Raw genomic sequence first — 18,449 nt, forward strand, 5'->3', positions numbered from 1 at the left:
TGCCTCTTGGTATCTCCCCACACTCTCTTTTCATTGAAAGGCAATGCTTCAAAAAATTGGAAAAATTATCTATGTGGAGGAAGATGAAGAGAGAAAACTTTAGAATGTAATGCAAATTCCAAAACATTTGCTGGGAATTTTAACACGATTTTGTAGGAATATGTGAAACTTCTGTACTATTATGAAATGGAGGGGTGACATAGGGAAGCAGTACAGTATGGATAAAAATTCTAAAATTCCAAAATACCACCCATGTTTTAAAGTCCAGTTATGAATTCAGATTAGTCAGTTTTTGACTTAATCAAATTGAGTTGCTGCATTTATTCGGATTATATAGACCTGTAAAAATACTTAGAGGTTTCAAATGTCTCTGGTAGAGCTTTGTACCTAACTTGTGTGACATATTTTAAATGTAGATTATGTTCAAACCTGCATTAATCCATTCATATTTTAAATTTAAAAATATAATTAGCAATAAAAGAAAGCCTCATGCTCAGCTATTATATCCAACTAAGCACTACCAGTTTCTCCATCCCTCTCTTCTCTGAAGCTAACACACTGTACATCCATGGGTACACTATGTCAGCTCACTAGGCCTATTTTCCATTCCACAATTTGAAAATGATGAAACCTACCTAATTGGATTTTTGGAAACTAAAATATTATGTGACTAAACTTTGTGAATTCAAAAGCACTACACAGCATTAAATTTTAAGATTAGAAAGTTGCAAGTTTACAACTGAGTCCAGATCTTAGTGTTTTAATGGTGAAAACGCATTGCCAATTTTCTCAGTAATTTTTTTTGGCCAAAGCAGTTGAATCAGTAATATTTTTCTGATTCCAGTTAGAATGTTTCCCATAAAACTCTATGAAGCTATTTACACTTCAAATTTTAAAACATGGCCCACATATGCTTAGTTATTTTCTCAAATTACCCTGTACAAAAAGCCATTCATGCCTGATATGGTTTATTTCTTTTTTTTAGAGATGGGATCTTGCTCTGTCACCCATGCCAGGGTACAGTGGTGCATCATAGCTCACTGCAGCCTTTAACTCCTGGGCTCAAGTGATCCTCCTGCTTCAGCCTTTCCCAATAGCTAGGACTACTATCGTGCACCACCACGCCTGGCTAATTTTTAAATTTTTTTGTAGAGATGAGGTCTGTATTAGTCCATTTTCATGCTGCTGATAAAGACGTACCCAAAACTGGGCAATTTACAAAAGAAAGAGGTTGAATTGGGCATACACTTCCATGTGGCTGGGGAAGCCTCACAATCATGGCATAAGGCAAGAAAGAGCAAGTCACATCTTACCTGGATGGCAGCAGGCAAAAAGAGCTTGTGCAGGGCAACTCCCATTTTTAAAATCATCAGGTCTCATGAGACCCATTCACTAGCATGAGAACAGCACGGGAAAGATCTGCCCTCATAATTCAGTCACCTCCCAATGGGTTCCTCCCATGACATCTGGGAATTGTGGGAGTTACAATTCAAGATGAGATTTGGGTGGGGACACAGCCAAACCATATCATTCCACCCCAGCCCCTCCCAAATCTCAGGTCCTCACATTTCAAAACCAGTCATGTCTTCCCAATAGTCCCCCAAAGTCTTAACTCACTTCAGCATTAACCCAAAAGTCCACAGTCCCATGTCTCATCTGAGACAAGGCAAGTCCCTTCTGCCTGTGAGCCTGTAAAACCAAAAGCAAGTTAGTTACTTCCTAGATACAATGGGGGTAAAGGCATTGGGTAAATACAGCCATTCCAAATGGGAGAACTGACCAAAACAAAGGGGCTACAGGCCCCATGCAGGTCTGAAATCCAGCAAGGCAGTCAAATCTTGAAGCTCCAAAATGATCTCCTTTGACTCCATGTCTCTCATCTGGGTCATGCTAATGCAAGAGGTGGGTTCCCATGGTCTTGGGAAGCTCTGCCGCTGTGGCTTTGCAGGGTACAGCCTCCATCCCCACTGCCTTCATGGGCTGGCACTGTCAGTGACTTTTTCAGGCGCATGGTGCAAGCTGTAAGTAGATCTACCATTCTGGGGTCTGGAGGATGGTGGCCCTTTTCTTACAGCTCCACTAGGTGGTGCCACAGCAGGGACTCTGGGGGTTTCAACCCCACATTTCCCTTCTGCACTGCCCTAGCAGAGGTTCTCCATGAGGGTCCCCATCCCTGCAACAAACTTCTGCCTGGGAATCCAGTTGTTTCCATACATCTTCTGAAATCTAGGCAGAGGTTCCCAAAGCCCAATTCTTGACTTCTGTGTACCTGCAGGCTCAACACCACATGGAAGCTGCCAAGGCTTGGGGCTTGCATGCTCCGAAGCCATGGCCTGAGCTCTACGTTGGCTCCTTTCAGCCATGGCTGGAGTGGCTGGGATACAGGGCACCAAGTCCCTAGGCTGCACACAGCACAGGAATCCTGGGTCCAGCCCACAAAACCACTTTTTCCTCCTAGGCCTCTGGGCCTGTGATGGGAGGGGCTGCTGTGAAGACCTCTAACCTGCCCTGGAGACATTTTCCCCGTTGTCTTGGGGATTAACATTTGGCTCTTCATTACTTAAGCAAATTTCTGCAGCCAGGTTAAATTTCTTCTCAGAAAATGGGATTTTCTTTTCTATGGCATTGTCAGACTGCAAATTTTCTGAACTTTCAAGCTCTGCTTCCCTTATAAAACTGAATGCCTTTAATGGCATCCAAGTAACCTCTTGAATGCTTTGCTGCTTAAAAATTTCTTCCACCAAATACCCTAAATTATCTCTCTCAAGTTCAAAGTTCCACAAATCTCTAGGACAGGGGCAAAATGCCACTAGTCTCTTTGCTAAAACATATCAAGAGTGACCTTTGCTCTAGTTCCCAACAAGTTCCTCATCTCCATCTGAGACCACCTCAGCCTGGATTTCATTGTTCATATCATTATCAGCATTTTGGTCAAAGCCATTCAACAAGCCTCTAGGGAGTTCCAAACTGTCCCATATTTTCCTGTCTTCTTCTGAGCCCTCCAAACATTCCAAGCTCTGCCTTGTACTCAGTTCCAAAGTCACTTCCACGTTTTTGGGTATCTTTTCAGCAGTACCCCACTCTACTGGTACAAATTAACTGTATTAGTCCATTTTCATGCTGCTGATAAAGACATACCAGAGACTGGGCAATTTGCAAGAAACAGGTTTAATTGGACTTACAGTTCCACATGGCTGAGGAAGCCTCACAATCATGGCAGAAGGCAAGAGGAGCAAGACACATCTTATGTGGAGGGCAGCAGGCAGAGAGCTTGTGCAGGGCAACTCCCTGCACTGATGGTTTTTAAAACCATCAGATCTCGTAAGACTCATTCACTATCATAAGAACAGCACCGGAAAGACCCACCCCCATAATTCAGTCACCACCCATGACACGTGGGAATTGTGGGAATTACAATTCAAGTGAGATTTGGTTGGGGACACAGCCAAACCAGATCAGGATCTCAACATGTTGCCCAGGCTTAACTTAAAGTGCAGGAAACAATCAGAAGTATCAAGTGACTCGATTCTCTAAAATGAAAGATACTTGGACAGATGATTTTTCTTATGTATATGGATTTTTAAGACTTTTCCCCACTAGGTTTCCACTAGCTCAACCAAACTTCACCTCAGTACCCACATGGACACTTGTGCAAACACGTTCCCAGGACATCTCTAAAGGGGAAAATAATCTATTCTCTAATGTGATGATGAATGTAGAGTGATATGACAGTCCGTTTTCCAACCAGGAGATACAAATGGCTGAGTCAGACTTGCTCCAAAATATTTAGCCTCTTCCCTAAGTCCTGTCTTCCTCCTCATACAACATACTCTGCACATCTCCCAGGAAAGAGAGAAAAAAGTTTGCTTTCATGCTAACTTAAGAACCTTGCAATATTTCAGTAACTTCTGAGATATTTGCTCCACCAACACATGCATCCAAATTTTAGATTTCTCCAGAGCTTGGGAATCACAACTTCACAAATATAACTTGATTTGGTTGTGTTTGGTGTCATGTACATACTATGGTCTTGCTTTGTCACTTGATGCCACTCCTTAGTATATGATACCACAGATTTCCAAATTCATTACAAAGACTACAATCTTAAAAAAACATATTCTTGCTTTAGCAATTACTTCAATTTTGGGATTCATATATTTGCAAACCTGGAGGATGGGCAGCTATAGAATTGGTTTTTCTAAACTCGATGATATACTGGAAGCCATCATGCTGTTATGGACCTTCATTCCACAAAGCACCATGGCTGATGCAATCACTCTTAATGACTTTTATGAATTTTAATCTACTTGATACACATGCCTAGGTAAACAAATCTCGCGTAATTGTTCAAATTTTATCTTCCACAATGGGGAAAAACAGATTTAAAAAAAAATACTTAGATTATGTCTTTTTCTTTCTAAATTATTTTTTGTAAAGATGAGGTCTTATCATGTTGTCTAGGCTGGTCTCCAACTCTTGGCCTCAAGCTATCCTCCCACCTTGGCCTCCCAAAGTGCTGGGATTACAAGCATAAGCCACCATGCTTGGCTGTCTTGTTCTTATACACTGAATGTGCACTGTTCTGTAATTCTTATCTCTTAAGGGCTTCAGATTCATGGAAAGATTGATGCAGAGTGTAACCTTTTTATTGTTCAAAATGCTACAAATAACTGCATTTTGGAACTCAACGATCACACCTTCCCAACTACTTCTTGTTCATTTTATTATTACTATACGCAAAGCATTAAAATAGAAGCTGGGTAGAGAAAACATGTAGAAGTAGGGTTACCAGATAAAAGATGTTCAGTTAAATTTGAATTTCAGATAAACACATTTTTTGTATATGTCCTGAATATTAAATATACTAAAACATTATTTATCTGAAATTCAAATTTAACTGAATGTCCTGTAAACTTACAATTTAATAAAGAAATTAATGAATAACCATAAAGCACAGATGACAAGTACAGTCATCCAATCAGGAGAGGAAAAGATCTCTACTAACGGATCTCCAGGTACAACAGAAAAAAGTACCTGGAAGAGATGACAATTGATGTCATTCCTGAAAGATGACTAAATTTTGACTGGTGGACAGGTGGTTTAATGTGATGATTTTGAGGTTCAAGTGTCCCAAGTTAAATTCCAAATGAACCACTCACTAGCTGTGTAACATCAGACAAGCTACTCAAGCACTCTTTATTATAAAATGAGAATACTAATAATACCTTGCGCTAGGTTGTTTAAGGATCAGAGAAAATATATGCACAAAGCACCTGGAACACAGGAGGCACTCTTTAAATGGTAATACTTCTTATTACAACTTAAAATGTCACACGACAAATAGGGTACTTGTCACAGACAAACATTCAAATGTTAATGTTATACAGTAATAGTAATATTGAATAAGTAATTTTATTTCCATGATCTATTTACACTGTACAAAGACTGTTGAAAAGCACCCTACAAGTTCACAGTACATTACAATATATTTACTTTAAAAATATATTCCTTTATAAAAGGTTTATAAGAACATTGGCATGTCAACATGTGACAAAACTCTCAAAGCATGTCACCAATTCTGTGAGAGCAAGAATGCATCCAAGTGTTATCAATTTCACAATCACAAGTCACCAGTTGAGTTTTAAATACATACATGTTTTAAATAAAAAAAGAATTCTATAGTGGAAAGTTCTTGAGGCAATACTTATTAGTTCATTAACGTATGCATTTTCATGGAGATGTGGCATAATAACCCACAATATCAACTTAATCTGTCCAAAGAAACATTTCAACAAGTTTAGCAGTACAGAAATTCTGGTCATTTGTTTCTACTTTTTCTTCTTTGCTGGTTCTCCTGGCTCTACTTTGCGCTTTTTAGAAGTATGCTCATCTTTTTCATCATCTTTAAATAGAAAAGGAAGAGTTTCAATCAGTAATTTTAAAAAACCCAACATGTTAAGCATTAAAATTTCACTGGCTTTATACCAAAATTATTACCCTCATCAATTAATGTTTCTCTCAGAGTTTCCCAATAAAAAACAAGAATTAACTTTTAGAGCTCTGATTTTTAAATGCAAGTGAAAGTGAGCAATTTTTTTTTTCAATTGCAGCCATACAAAATTCACAAAGTAACTCTTTAGGTGCTATACTAAGGTAGCTTAAAATAAGTGACTTTACTTCCCCCAAATCAGACTTTTGAAAAAGGCTCCCAAATACTCAGCAAGCTTGTCCAACCTGCCTTATTTGTTGTTGTTGTTCTGTTTTGTTTTAGGCTTTTAGCAGCCTGAAGCCATGGTTTTTAGTTTCTGTCTCTAGTGATAAGCAGAAAAGAAGGATGATGAAGGGGCTTTATTGGCCCAACCAATAACAGAAACTAAGAACTCATGACTGTATTCTCTCCCTTGGACACCACTGCATGATAGTATTTACATTGTATATATTAAAATACAATCAATGCTTTGTAAGAATGGAGCATATTGTTTTCTTTTTACAAAAAATAGGTATCACTCTAACGATGACATTATTTAAGTGGCTATCAGCTGTCCTTTTCCTTTCAATCTGCTTTCTCTCCTCCAAAAACAACTTCTTCTGCCCCATCACCTTCTCCACCCACCCCAAATCCTTATTTTGAGGTTAAAAAGCACTCACAAGTAGGTTTCCCCAAACCTCTATTTGGAATTTTATTCTAGTAAGTTCTAATTCCCATCCCCGCCCTCCCCATCCCCACTCCCACGATGGCCAGAACATTTTAATGGCAACAGAAAAATACATATCTTCCTACTTCATATTATGGAGAATTTGGAGAGGGGAGGGAGGTTAGAGAAGAGCCTTACATTAAAACAATGTTCTTTACACCTTTCCAAAATGTTAATAGTATCTGTAGCCACAGAAAATTTCCAATTCATAAAAATGTTGTCAAACCTGGAAAAGTGAACTCTTTTATTGTATTTTAAAAAATCCAACTACATGGTTAAAAAAAAAATACAGGGTAGCACAGACTAGTTGCTAATTCCATCTCCCTAAGCAAATGTGTGGTATTAAGAACTCCATATAGACAGAGTAACATGGAAAAGATGTTATGATTTATAAAATACAAATTTATTTTGAGCACATTACTAATTAATTGTAGCTTTTGACTTTATTTTCTTGATCAACAGATACTCAAAAAGTTCAACAGGTTATCATGTGGAGATCTATAAAATATCTTGATATTGAAAGGAGCCTTCATTATTAAAAAATGTGAGGAACTACTGACATCAAATCATAAATTCCTTGAAGGAAATATTAAAATCTTAAGCCTTCAATTCCCTTCTGCTGACTGTACCATAATCAGAATATCTCATTTATTGATGCAGATAACAATCAATACCATTCATCTTCACTCCCCTTCAAGCACAGCACGGTGATGTTATTCATATGCTTCACAGAGCACTATGGATTTATGTAGGCAGTGGAATAAAATACAATTCAGATCAACTCACCCCAGGAATTTACAAATCAAAGTTTTAATCAGTAGTTCATCATGTTCATACAAAAACACTGGCTCCACAAACCAAATAACATGGTATACCACCAAAACAAGCCAAACGTTTTGCTTTTTTTTTTTTTTGAGATGGAGTCTTGCTCTGTTGCCCAGGATGGAGTGCAGTGGCACCATCTCAGCTCATTGTAATCTCCACCTCCCAGGTTCACGCCATTCTCCTGCCTCAGCCTCCCAAGCAGCTGGGACTACAGGTGCCTGCCATCACACCCAGCTAATTTTTTGTATTTTTAGTAGAGACGGGGTTTCACGGTGTTAACCAGGATGGTCTCTATCTCCTGACCTCGTGATCCACCCACCTCGGCCTCCCAAAGTGCTGGGATTACAGGCGTGAGCCACCGCACCCGGCACCTTTTGCTTTTTAACGAGTTAATTATCACTAAGCTCCTCTTTTGAGATTTTCAGTAGTGATAATATAAAAATGGAAAGTACTAAGTTTACTATAATATTCACTATGCATTAGCATACATTTAGATGATACTGAGATATTTTTGCTTTTAATTTGCCACTTATTACAAGTAAATTAACTGAATAACAAAACCACAAACTACTGAAGTTAAAAAGTAACTGGCTATCAGTGATTTGAGCAGAAGTGCTATGCCATCTAGTGTCATGACAAGGCATTGCTTTATAAACTAGAGTAGGAAAAAATCTGAGCAATGTTCATTTATCAATTTTACTGAGCTTTTTTACTCGGTCTCATATAGTATAGATGTACTGGTAAGGAAACAATTTTTTTATTATGGAACTCAAATCACTCAAGTAAGTTTAACTTATCAATAGACAAACTTTCTAAATTCTAAAAAGTGTAAACTAAAAATCACTATATTAATTATGCTTTTACAATTAATTATTATACATGTCAATAAAGCTACAACTAATAACTAAGCTTTGCTTACCTACATTTTACAACCACTAAAACCAGAAGTGGCAGGGTGCGGTGGCTCACACCTGTAATCCCAGCACTTTGGGAGGCTGAAGCGGGCGGATCACGAGGTCAGGAGATCGAGACCACCCTGGCCAACATGCTGAAACCCCATCTCCACTAAAAATACAAAAATTAGCTGGGCGTGGTGGCGTGTGCCTGTAGTCCCAGCTACTTGGCAGGCTGAGGCAGGAGAATCGCTTGAACCCGGGAGGCGGAGGTTGCAGTGAGCCGAGATCACACCACTGCACTCCAGCCTGGGCGACAGAGCGAGACTCCATCTCAAAAAAAAAAAAAAACCCGAAGGGCTGATAAGCAGCAAGACCCAATGATGAGTTCTGAACCTTTCCCAGCCCTTCCTCTAAAGTAACTGGAAGACGTTAACCGGCAATAAAAGGCCAAAGGGCAGAATGGGGAAGCAAAATAAAAAAGTCACTTGCTAATCTAAAATCTGGGTAAGAGTGTAGAGTTTCTGATATATATTTTATGAATGAAAAAGAAAGGCTAAAAAATTATGACATAATTGATTTTATAGGAATCTGAAAATCACTTCTAAAAAATGGGTCTGTTATTTGATTTTGCCTGTATTTGTTTTCCAATAAAGGACCATCATGTGATCAAAAAGACAGAAATTATCTATGTGAATAGCAGTGTTACCTGCCACATATTTGGAACTCCTTCTAACTTAACTCAAAAGCTAAGCTAGAAAAAGATAATTCTTTCTTGCTTGCTTGCCCTGGTGTATAATCCTGGTTTTTTCCATATAACTACAAAGATGTGAGAGCACCAGCCTATGGAAATCTAGTTTGAGTATCAACCCTAGTATCTTTACTGCCATTCGCCCTACAGAAGAATAGCTATATCTCACTGTTGAGAAATGGCTATTCATCAGGAGACCAAATCCCAGTTTAATAAGGCATAATTTCTATTTAAAGGTCTGGATTTGAATGCCTACTACTCTGTCTCTTCTTTAGCTGCGTGAATGAATTTGGGTAAAGTCCCTAATCTCAGATTGTTTTATCATCTGTAAAACAGTAATAATGAGTCATGTAGCACTTCTGTATCAGGTTGCTCGGAGTAATAAATTAGAAAACTGTGTGAAAGTGCCTATTTTAGAATTTGGCATTTTCTAGTTTGTGACCTTGGACAAGTTATGTAAGCTATCATTTCCACATTTCTCTATCTTATTTCACAAGGTGTTGTAATAAAGATTATTTAAGCAAATATATTTTTACTAATTATGAAAAGGAATGGCCGGGCACGGTGGCTCACGCCTGTAATCCCAGCACTTTGGGAGGCCAAGGCGGGCAGATCACGAGGTCAGGAGATCCAGACCATCCTGGCTAACACGGTGAAACCCCGTCTCTACTAAAAATACAAAAAATTAGCTGGGTGTGATGGCAGGCACCTGCAGTCCCAGCTGCTTGGGAGGCTGAGGCGGGAGAATGGCGTGAACCCGGGAGGCGGAGCTTGCAGTGAGCCGAGATGGCGCCACTGCACTCCAGCCTGGGCGACTGACCGAGACTCCGCCTCAAAAAAAAAAAAAAAAAAAAGAAAAGAAAACAAAAAGATTGTACAATATGAGATATTATAAATGTTTACATCATTTAAGGTCTGCAAAAAGATGCTACTTACTGAAGATGCTCCTTCATTAGTGACTAATACATATTAGAAGTCAGCAAAAGTAATGGAAAAGCTAGGTAGAATCAAAATTAAAGAAAGAACTGCCAATCAGTTCTCCTTTCTCTTAAAACAAAACATCACTCCCTGCATGACTGTTAAAAACGGGCTAAGTAGCCCTTGTATTGTGGGAAGATCAGAAATCTGTTTAACAAAAATGGCATACTTTCTTAAAAATAATGGTCCAAAACATTAGTTCAATTCAACAATTACTGAATACTTACAATGTACTCGATACAAACACTTCAAATCCTGCTGTTTGAGGAACTCATCATAAAGCAGACAGACTTTTAAAAAAATCACATACAAGTGATGAGGGCAATCAACAGCATTAGCATAAACAAGGTACAAAGGAGCAAATAATTATTAGAGGTGATACCTGAGATTTCTTCTTTTGATTTGGATTTTGAAGGATGAATTAGTTTACTAGCCAGAGATAAGAAAGAACACTAAAGAATAAGGTGCAACGTATACTGAAAGGCAGGGAACCATACAATTCAGTTCTGGATTTCAAGATCTTCAAGTGCTAGAAAGGGGCCATTAAAAATGACTGTGGACAGGGAGAAAGGGCCTATTAATACAAGGCCTTGACTTTATCCCGTTGAAGGGTTTTAAGCAGGCAAGTTATATAATCAGATACGACTTTTAGAAACTCAACACTAGCTGCAGTGAAGGATGGTACAGATTGGATAAGAATGTGTAGGCAAAGATTACTGTGACAGTCCAAGTAAGAGACGAAATTATGCTATTATGAACTAAAGTAAAACAACTCAGTCATTATCTTCCTATTACTATGTAGTAATGCTCAGTTAAATTCATTTTGTCATACTAATTTTAGCTCTGAAGCACAACTGCTTTAATAGAAAATGAAGCCTTCGGCCGGGAGCGGTGGCTCACGCCTGTAAATCCCAACACTTTGGGAGGCCGAGGCAGGTGGATCACCTGAGGTCAGGAGTTCAAGACCAGCCTGACCAACATGGTGAAACCCCACCTCTACAAAAACAAAAAAAACAAAAAAAACAAAACTAGCCCGGCGTGGTGGCAGGCGCCTGTAATCCCAGCTACTTGGAGGCTGAGGCAGGATAATCGCTTGAACCTGGGAGGTGGAGGTTCGCAGTGAGCTGAGATGGCGCCATTGCACTCCAGCCTGGGCAACAAGAGCGAAATGCTGTCTCAAAAAAAAAGAAAAAAAAAAAGAAAAAGAAGAAAAAAAAGAAAATTAAGCCTTCAGTACTTTGTAGCTACAGTCACAAGAAACCATGAATTGATTTGTGTTGTTCTAATAATGCATCATAAATCTGACCACTGGATGAGATATCAGATATTTTACTTTAAAGCCTGAATAATTTATGATCTTTCACTAAAATACAGCAACTACTACTAGCTGAGCTATCAGAGACTTCATGTTAAAGCCAAATATGTATGATCTTTCTCAAAAGCAGAGCAGTAAGTATCCAAAGACCATCAAATTAGTTTGTCAATTCGCTAGATTTAATTTTCATTCATTAAATATCTCATTCTTTTTAAGCCCATCACGGGGATCAAAATAGACCACCATCGGATTCTGACTTTCCTTACCTGATTCCAACGTCTCCTCCCCTTCTGGTAGAAGCCTAGCTTTCTTAGCATTCTGTGGAGCATCATCACCATTGTCCTCATATATGTTAGACCATTTTATTGCCATGTCAAGCTCTGGAGGCGGAGGCTTCTTCTCAGTGGTGTAGGTCTCAGGAGGTGGTACATAATTTGACTTCCATATTTTGAATTCCTTTGGAGGCTGTTAAGCAAGCACATTAAGAAGCACTGTGACGAACCGAGGTTCCTACGATGGACGTGGGCACATGCAACTCCCTGCCGTTCGCTTATCGTTCAGGCTGACTTTTTTTTTCTTTAAGGTTGAAAGACACATTTTTCCATCAAAATCACAATACTGTTAAGTGAAAAGCCAAAGGGTTCCCTATATGAATAAAGCTAATAACTTTTAGTTACCAAAGAAGAATCCAGTCTCAGAGATACTACGCCAAGGCTGACCCCTTCAGGAGGCTGCAGCAGACACTGTCTTGGAGGCAGCACCGCAGGCACTTCGGCGTCAAAGGGAAGGGGTCTCAGGGAGAAGCTGCAGCGGGGGGGGCGGGGGAGTCACCACTGTTAGTCCTCGCCGCGCGGGGTCGGGGCACCGAGCGCGGAGGTTTGGGTCTCCTCACAAGGGGCGGGGCTGCGGGTCCGGTCTAACACCCACCAGGCGGGGAGAGGGGGCCAGGTTTCCCAGGGCTTGAGGTGGGAGGGGGTGGTGCGGCATCCCGCGGGGGTGACTGCGTGTGGGGGGATGGACAGCAGGTCCCCAGCAGGGGGCTCAGGAGAAAGGGGGCGCAGGCCGGGGCCGAGACCGAGAAACGGGGTCGGGGACCTCACCTCCTCAGGCGCCTTGACGACGTGCCTCTCCCAGTCTATCTGTTTGTTGAGCGGATTGTAGAGAAAGGCCGGGCGAGTCACGCTCCTAAACAGCTCGTCAGGTCCCGGGAGCCGCTTCTCCGCCTTGTTCCTACAGCCGCCCGCCGACTTCGCCGGATCCGGGGTTCTGCGACTCGTCTCCTCCGGCTCGATGTTATCCTCCTCGTCCGAGGAGCCTGAGCTGCTGCTCCCGTATGCCGCAAAATAGCTCAGAGGGTCCTTCTCCTCCGCTGCCATGACGGCTGCGAGCGACAACCCAGCACTCCGCCGGAAGCCGGAAACCGGAAACCGGAAGCCACCCCAGGGCCCGCCCCTCGCGTGGCCCCGCCCCAACTCTTACAAATAAGCCTGCAGTCTGCGCCCCCTGGCGGTTGCGCCACGCTCCTGCTCCCCCTCGGAGGGGCTGAGGCTGGAGGCGGGCCCGGCACGTTCCCAAGCAGGGGCGGGGGCTGCTTTTGCTCATTTCTGAGGAGCTCTGAGAAGAGACGAAGTTCTGAGCCAGGGATCCCAGCCAAACTTCCTGCATTCGATAGCATTTACCAAAGGCATAGAAGACCTAAGAATTTTGTCTTTTCGCTGTCACTCCACTTTAGCCCTTGCCCAGAGAGGGTAGGATTTTTTCCTGATCCACTGCATCTCGTCTTCCAAATAAAAATTACTCTCAGTGTGTTTCCCTAGGTTGTCATGGAAGACCTCTAGGGGTGGTGGACTTCCCAAGCCAAGAACCAAATCATTTCCTGCTTGACCTCATTCAAGTGCGCTCTGAATAGCTTTGACAAAACTCCTCTTGGATCATAGCCTACCACTCGGGTCGTCCAAACTCTCTGGCTTCTCATTGTCAGCCTCTTCTCCGCCTGCTTTGCTCCATATGGCCCTTAAATGTTGGTGTTTCCCAACATATTGTACTATCTTTCAGTGATGCTTCTAACATTTTAAAGGGCATTACAAAGTTGCAAGTCAGCCCATCCCTTTCCACCGCATTAACTACTTTATGCTATGATTCCCAAATCTGGGTGTCTAATCCCAATCTTTCCACCCAAACTCTAGACCCGACCACCACCTGGATCTTACATTTTCCATATGGTATCCTTCTGGGGCCTCAAACACCCACCTATTGGAACCGTAATCTGTCTTTTCATATAATTTTTCTCTGCATTTTTGTTCCTTCTTTTGGTAAATGGTGTAACCATATGCCTAGTATTCAGGGAAACTAGAACTCTTTGATTCCTTCTGGTGAACTAAATGGGAATGACACCCAAATGAAGTTGTTATCAGTGTATTTAGATTTCACTTAAGGATGCCTGCTCGTTTAGATGATACTCACACTCACACATAACTTGCCATTCCTCCCTGGAAGTAGGCTCCAGGGCAGAGTTATATAACTATCTTGTTCACTCCCTCTTTGCTGTGGTACGATGTCTATGAGCTCCTTGAGGGGAGGAGCTGGACTGTGCTTTGCTCATTTTTAGATTCCTACTACCCAGCGCAGTGCTTGTCACAGAGCAGATGGTTAATAAATATTTTTGGATTATAATAATTTATGATGGTATGGGTCTAGATAAGTGTTTCTCGAGTTTTCCCATCCAGGTTCCTATGTTGGCAGAGGAAAATGATGGTCTCAAAGTGCAAAGTTTGGGAGTCCCCAAAACCATCCTCACTCCTGACACCAATTTCAGGTTTTGCAAAGTTCAGACTGCCCTCAGGTTGGTTTGATAATTTACTAGAAGGACTCACAGAACTCACTGCAAGTCATTATACTCATGGTTACAGTTTATTACAGCAAAATAATACAGGCGGGGGGAAAAAACCAAACAGCCAAGGGAAGAGGCACATGGTGCAGAGTTCCACATTCAAAGCTTCCAGTTGTCCTCTCCTAGTGGAATTGTGAACAGTATGAACTTCTCGTGGCAGAGACACGTGACAGTATGCATGGAATACTGCCATCCAGAGAAACTCACCTGAGCTTTGTTGTCCAGAGTTTTTATTGGGGCTTGGCCATATAGGCACAGTTAATTGCCCACGAGTGACCTCAGTCTCCAGTTCCTCCAGAAGCTGAGCTGATACATTGTGACCCAAAGTCCCATGGGCATACATATTTATTTTTCTTAATATAAGATCTTGAAAATGTATGGAAATTTTGCATGGTTGTGTTTAATAAAGCTCTTTTAATAGACAAAAATATTTAGACTTACTTATTACTGAGTAAAACTGACACTCTGAGTGACTTTTAAAATGGGCTCACTGTTGAATGCCTCGGAGATTGAGGTACTCAGTTTGAGCAACATGAGTTCTTGTTATCAAACCATCAGTGGTCTCTGTGAGACTTGGTCCAAAGACCACTTCTTACTTGACCTTTCAACAAGATAGGTGCCTTCTTGAAATGCTTTTCTCTTGCCTTTCACTAGATCATACACTTTAGTTCTCTTCCTATTTCACAGGGCCCTTTTCAGTTTTCTCTGTTGTCTTCTCTGTATCACCTCTAGATGCAGAAGCACCTCAGGCTCAGTTCTGAGCCTTCCTCTCTTTTTTGTCTACCCTCCATTTCAAGGCAAACTCACCAAGTTCCAAGGTTTTAAATATTAGTTTATGCTAATAACTCCCACATTTACGTAACTGGTCCACAAGTCTTCCTGAACACCAAACTCCTGCATGCAATTTCCTACTTCAATGTCTCAGAAGCTCCTCAAACTTAGCATTTTTGTAGCAGATTGTCTACAAAGATGCTGCCAATAATTCCTCTTGTCTCATGTTTCCTAATGATTTGAGTCAGGTTATGAATCTTTGGCAAGAATATTATGAAAGTGGTATTACAGTCTTCTCATTGTCTTCTATCAGAAGGCACATGATTTCAGTTTGTCGTGGCACTGATGATTTTACCTTTGATTTCTTGTTTAAGGTTGTATCTGCCAGGCTTCTCCACTGTAGTTACTTTTTTCCTCCTTTGTAAATAAGTATTTTTGTAAGGAGGTATTTAAAGACCATGTCAACATCACATTCTGCTTCAAATTATTTGTTTATTTATTCATTTTGCTTGAGACAGAGTCTCGCTCCATCACTCAGCTGGAGTCATCTCAGCTCACTGCAACCTCCACTTCCCAGGTTCAAATGATTCTTGTGCCTCAGCCTCCTGAGTAGCTGAGATTAAGGCACCTGCCACTGTGCCTGGCTAATTTTTGTATTTTTAGTAGACAGGGTTTCCCCATGTTGGCCAAGCTGGTCTCAAACTCCTGGGCTCAAGTGATCTGCCCACCTTGGCCTCCCAAAGCGTTGGGATCACATGCGTGAGCCATCATGCCTAGACTGTTCATTTATTTATATTAGCATTGACCCATGGCTTATCAAATGAGTTATAATCCATTATTATTTATTTTGATGTTGAAATTGTCTCTGATTTGGCCAATGGGAGCCCCTTCAAGCAGGCTTCTGTGTCCTTTGGACATGTCCTCCTCAAGATTCTTTGATCACTTGTCTGCTTCCTGGAACAAGATGTTTCAGGCTCATCTTATACTTTGCCTTGGAATTAGCCATTTCCAAGGAACTTTGATTCCTTTTAATGGAGAATGGGTATTTAGAAGCCAAGGTCTCGGTGCTAGGTGAGCTCATTGCTAATAAGGTGTTAATGTTTCCAGGTTCTCTCACTAATTCATTCCCACCTCAGGGCTTCTGACCTCAATGTTACTTCTGCCTGGAACTCTTCCCTCTAGAACTTCCCATGGCTGGCTCCTTTTTTATGAGTTAGGTCTCTGCTCAAAGCCTCACCTGCTCTGAGAAGCCTTCTACAATAATACTATCAAGTATCTTTCAAGTTACTTTTTAACTCATGCCTTATTTTGTCTCCATGGTAACTAGAATTATCTTAGTTTTCTTTATTTTTGGACTCTCTCCCACAATGAAAACATGAGTTGTATGAGAACACAGGCTTAAGAATCAAACAGCCCTGGATTTTAATCCTAAAGAGCTGTGTGATTTTAAATCATTGACTTTATTTTGAGTTTTGTTTCTCAACTGTAAAAAAAAAAAAGTGACAATAAAACCTTCCTTGCAGGGTTATTAGGATTAAAAAACAAGAAACAAGATCACACATGCGGAAACACTAAACTCATTATTTGGCATCTAGTAAGGCTGTGGATTCCAAATTTTGTTGCCACTGAAAATCACCTGGAAATCTGATGCCTGGCTTCCACAACCAAACATTGTGATTTATTGGGTATGGGGTACAGCCTGGAGATAGGGATCTTTAAGCACTCCCCAGTTGATTGTAAAATGGACAGCAAAATTTGGGAACCATTGCAATAAAGAACTATTTCTGGTAATTAAATAGTATGGCAAGTTCAGCATGATTTTAGCAGCAGCACTCAAGTTTTTTTATATATTATCTATCCTTAAGTTCAGCTCTCCTTTCAGAAAGCCCTCATAAGATTACATTTAAAAACTTTAGATCAGTTTGCTTCTTGGTTTGCTTTTTCTCCAAAGTCAACAGTGGACATATTTATCCAGTGATACAATATAAGACTAGAGTGTGAAACTTCCACCTCCTTTTTACATTGCTTAGGTAAAAAGATGGTAGCTGTAAGACTTGATTTCTACCTCATACCATACACAAAAATTACTTTGAAATGGATCATAGAGCTAAATGAGGAACTAAAACAACTTCTAGAAGAAAGCATAGAATATCATCAGGATGTTGAGATGGGAAAAATTTCTTAAACAAGAGACAAAAATCACTAGCCATGAGAAAAAATGTGATAAATTGGATTTAAAATAAAAAACTATTTATGAAAACAAATAAACAAAAAACTGCCATTATCCTGGCCTGCCCCTATTTTACCAGTGTTTGACATTGCACACAATGAGTGACATGCTGACTAAAGACGAATCACCTCTTCAAAAGTGAACTCTCGCTCTCCAGCAAGTAGTGAATTATCTCAATTGATTGTTCAGTCACAGACAGAACTCCTTGCTCTACTCTTTCTCCCCCTCTCACTAGTGAACTTGGCAAGTTTTTAAAAGTAAACAAAGTGAACTCATCATGAAAAGACCTGGAAGAATTCTGATGCATATTGATAAGAGAAAGAAGCCAGTCTGAAAAAAGCTACATACTATGATTCCAACTGTATAACATTCTGGGAAAGATGAAACTACAGAGACAATAAAAAGATCAGTGGTTGCCAGGGTTGGGAGTGAGATGAGAGGGAGGAAGGTATGAATAGGTAGAGCACATGAGCTTTTGAAGGCAGTGAAATTATTCTGCATAATGGCAGATACATGACATTACACATTTGTCAAAACCCACAGGACTGTATAACACAAAAAGTGAACCCTAACGTGAACAACGGACTTTGGATTAATAATAGTATCAAGATTCACTCATCAGGCTGGGTGTGGTGGCACACACCTGTAATCCTAGCACTTTGGGAGGCTGAGGCAGGTGGATCACCTGAGGTCTGGAGTTCAAGACCAGCCTGGCCAACATGGTGAAACCCTGTCTCCACTAAGAATACAAAAATTAGCCAGGCGTGGGGGCACACGCCTATAATCCCAGCTACTTTGGAGGCTGAGGCAGGAGAATCGCTTGTACCTGGGAGGTGGAGGTTGCAGTGAGCCGACATTGCACCACTGCACTCCAGCCTGGGTGACAGAGCCAGACTCCATCTCAAAAAAAAAAAAAAAAAAAAAAAAAAAAGATTGGCCGGGTGTGGTGGCTCATGCCTGTAATCCCAGCACTTTGGGAGGCCAAGGTGGGCAGATCACTAGGTCAGGAGATTGAGACCATCCTGGCTAACACAGTGAAACCCCGTCTCCACTAAAAATACAAAAAATTAGCCGGGCACGGTGGTGGGCGCCTGTAGTCCC

At 40.9% G+C, this 18,449-nt stretch overlaps 1 protein-coding gene across 2 annotated transcripts, besides 2 other annotated features; it reads right to left on the bottom strand.

The window, feature by feature from the left end:
* Window positions 1–3,152: 3,152 nt before the first annotated feature.
* C1orf52 (chromosome 1 open reading frame 52) lies at window positions 3,153–12,862 on the bottom strand. 2 transcript variants are annotated; one of them, NR_024113.2, is made up of 4 exons: window positions 12,558–12,862; window positions 12,135–12,261; window positions 11,724–11,922; window positions 3,153–5,902 (listed from the first exon to the last, which is right to left on the bottom strand). NR_024113.2 is itself a non-coding variant. In NM_198077.4 (3 exons), exons 1-3 carry the CDS (start codon window positions 12,831–12,833, stop codon window positions 5,829–5,831), a joined length of 549 nt encoding a protein of 182 aa, NP_932343.1. In that variant the 5' UTR covers window positions 12,834–12,862; the 3' UTR covers window positions 3,153–5,828. The 2 variants fall into 2 exon arrangements, 1 of the variants encoding a protein (NP_932343.1); NM_198077.4 differs by lacking the exon at window positions 12,135–12,261.
* Window positions 12,389–12,438: a silencer, noted in NCBI's record as "silent region_1033". NCBI's record gives its function as "represses an Ori minimal core promoter by ATAC-STARR-seq in GM12878 lymphoblastoid cells {active_cell/tissue: GM12878}" and the evidence as "EXISTENCE:reporter gene assay evidence [ECO:0000049][PMID:35858748]".
* Window positions 12,599–12,888: an enhancer, noted in NCBI's record as "active region_1267". NCBI's record gives its function as "activates an Ori minimal core promoter by ATAC-STARR-seq in GM12878 lymphoblastoid cells {active_cell/tissue: GM12878}" and the evidence as "EXISTENCE:reporter gene assay evidence [ECO:0000049][PMID:35858748]".

This window comes from Homo sapiens, chromosome 1 (genome assembly GCF_000001405.40).
Source record: "Homo sapiens chromosome 1, GRCh38.p14 Primary Assembly".
In the NCBI taxonomy this organism is placed as follows: Eukaryota; Metazoa; Chordata; class Mammalia; order Primates; family Hominidae; genus Homo; species Homo sapiens.

Coding starts and splice junctions, on each gene's coding strand:
- C1orf52 (NM_198077.4), bottom strand. CDS start 12,833: ATGGCAGCGGAGGAGAAGGACCCTCTGAGCTATTTTGCGGCATACGGG. Junction 11,923..12,557: donor TCGTCAAGGCGCCTGAGGAG/GTGAGGTCCCCG, acceptor CTTGCTTAACAG/CCTCCAAAGGAATTCAAAAT. Junction 5,903..11,723: donor GGAGGAGACGTTGGAATCAG/GTAAGGAAAGTC, acceptor TTCTATTTAAAG/ATGATGAAAAAGATGAGCAT.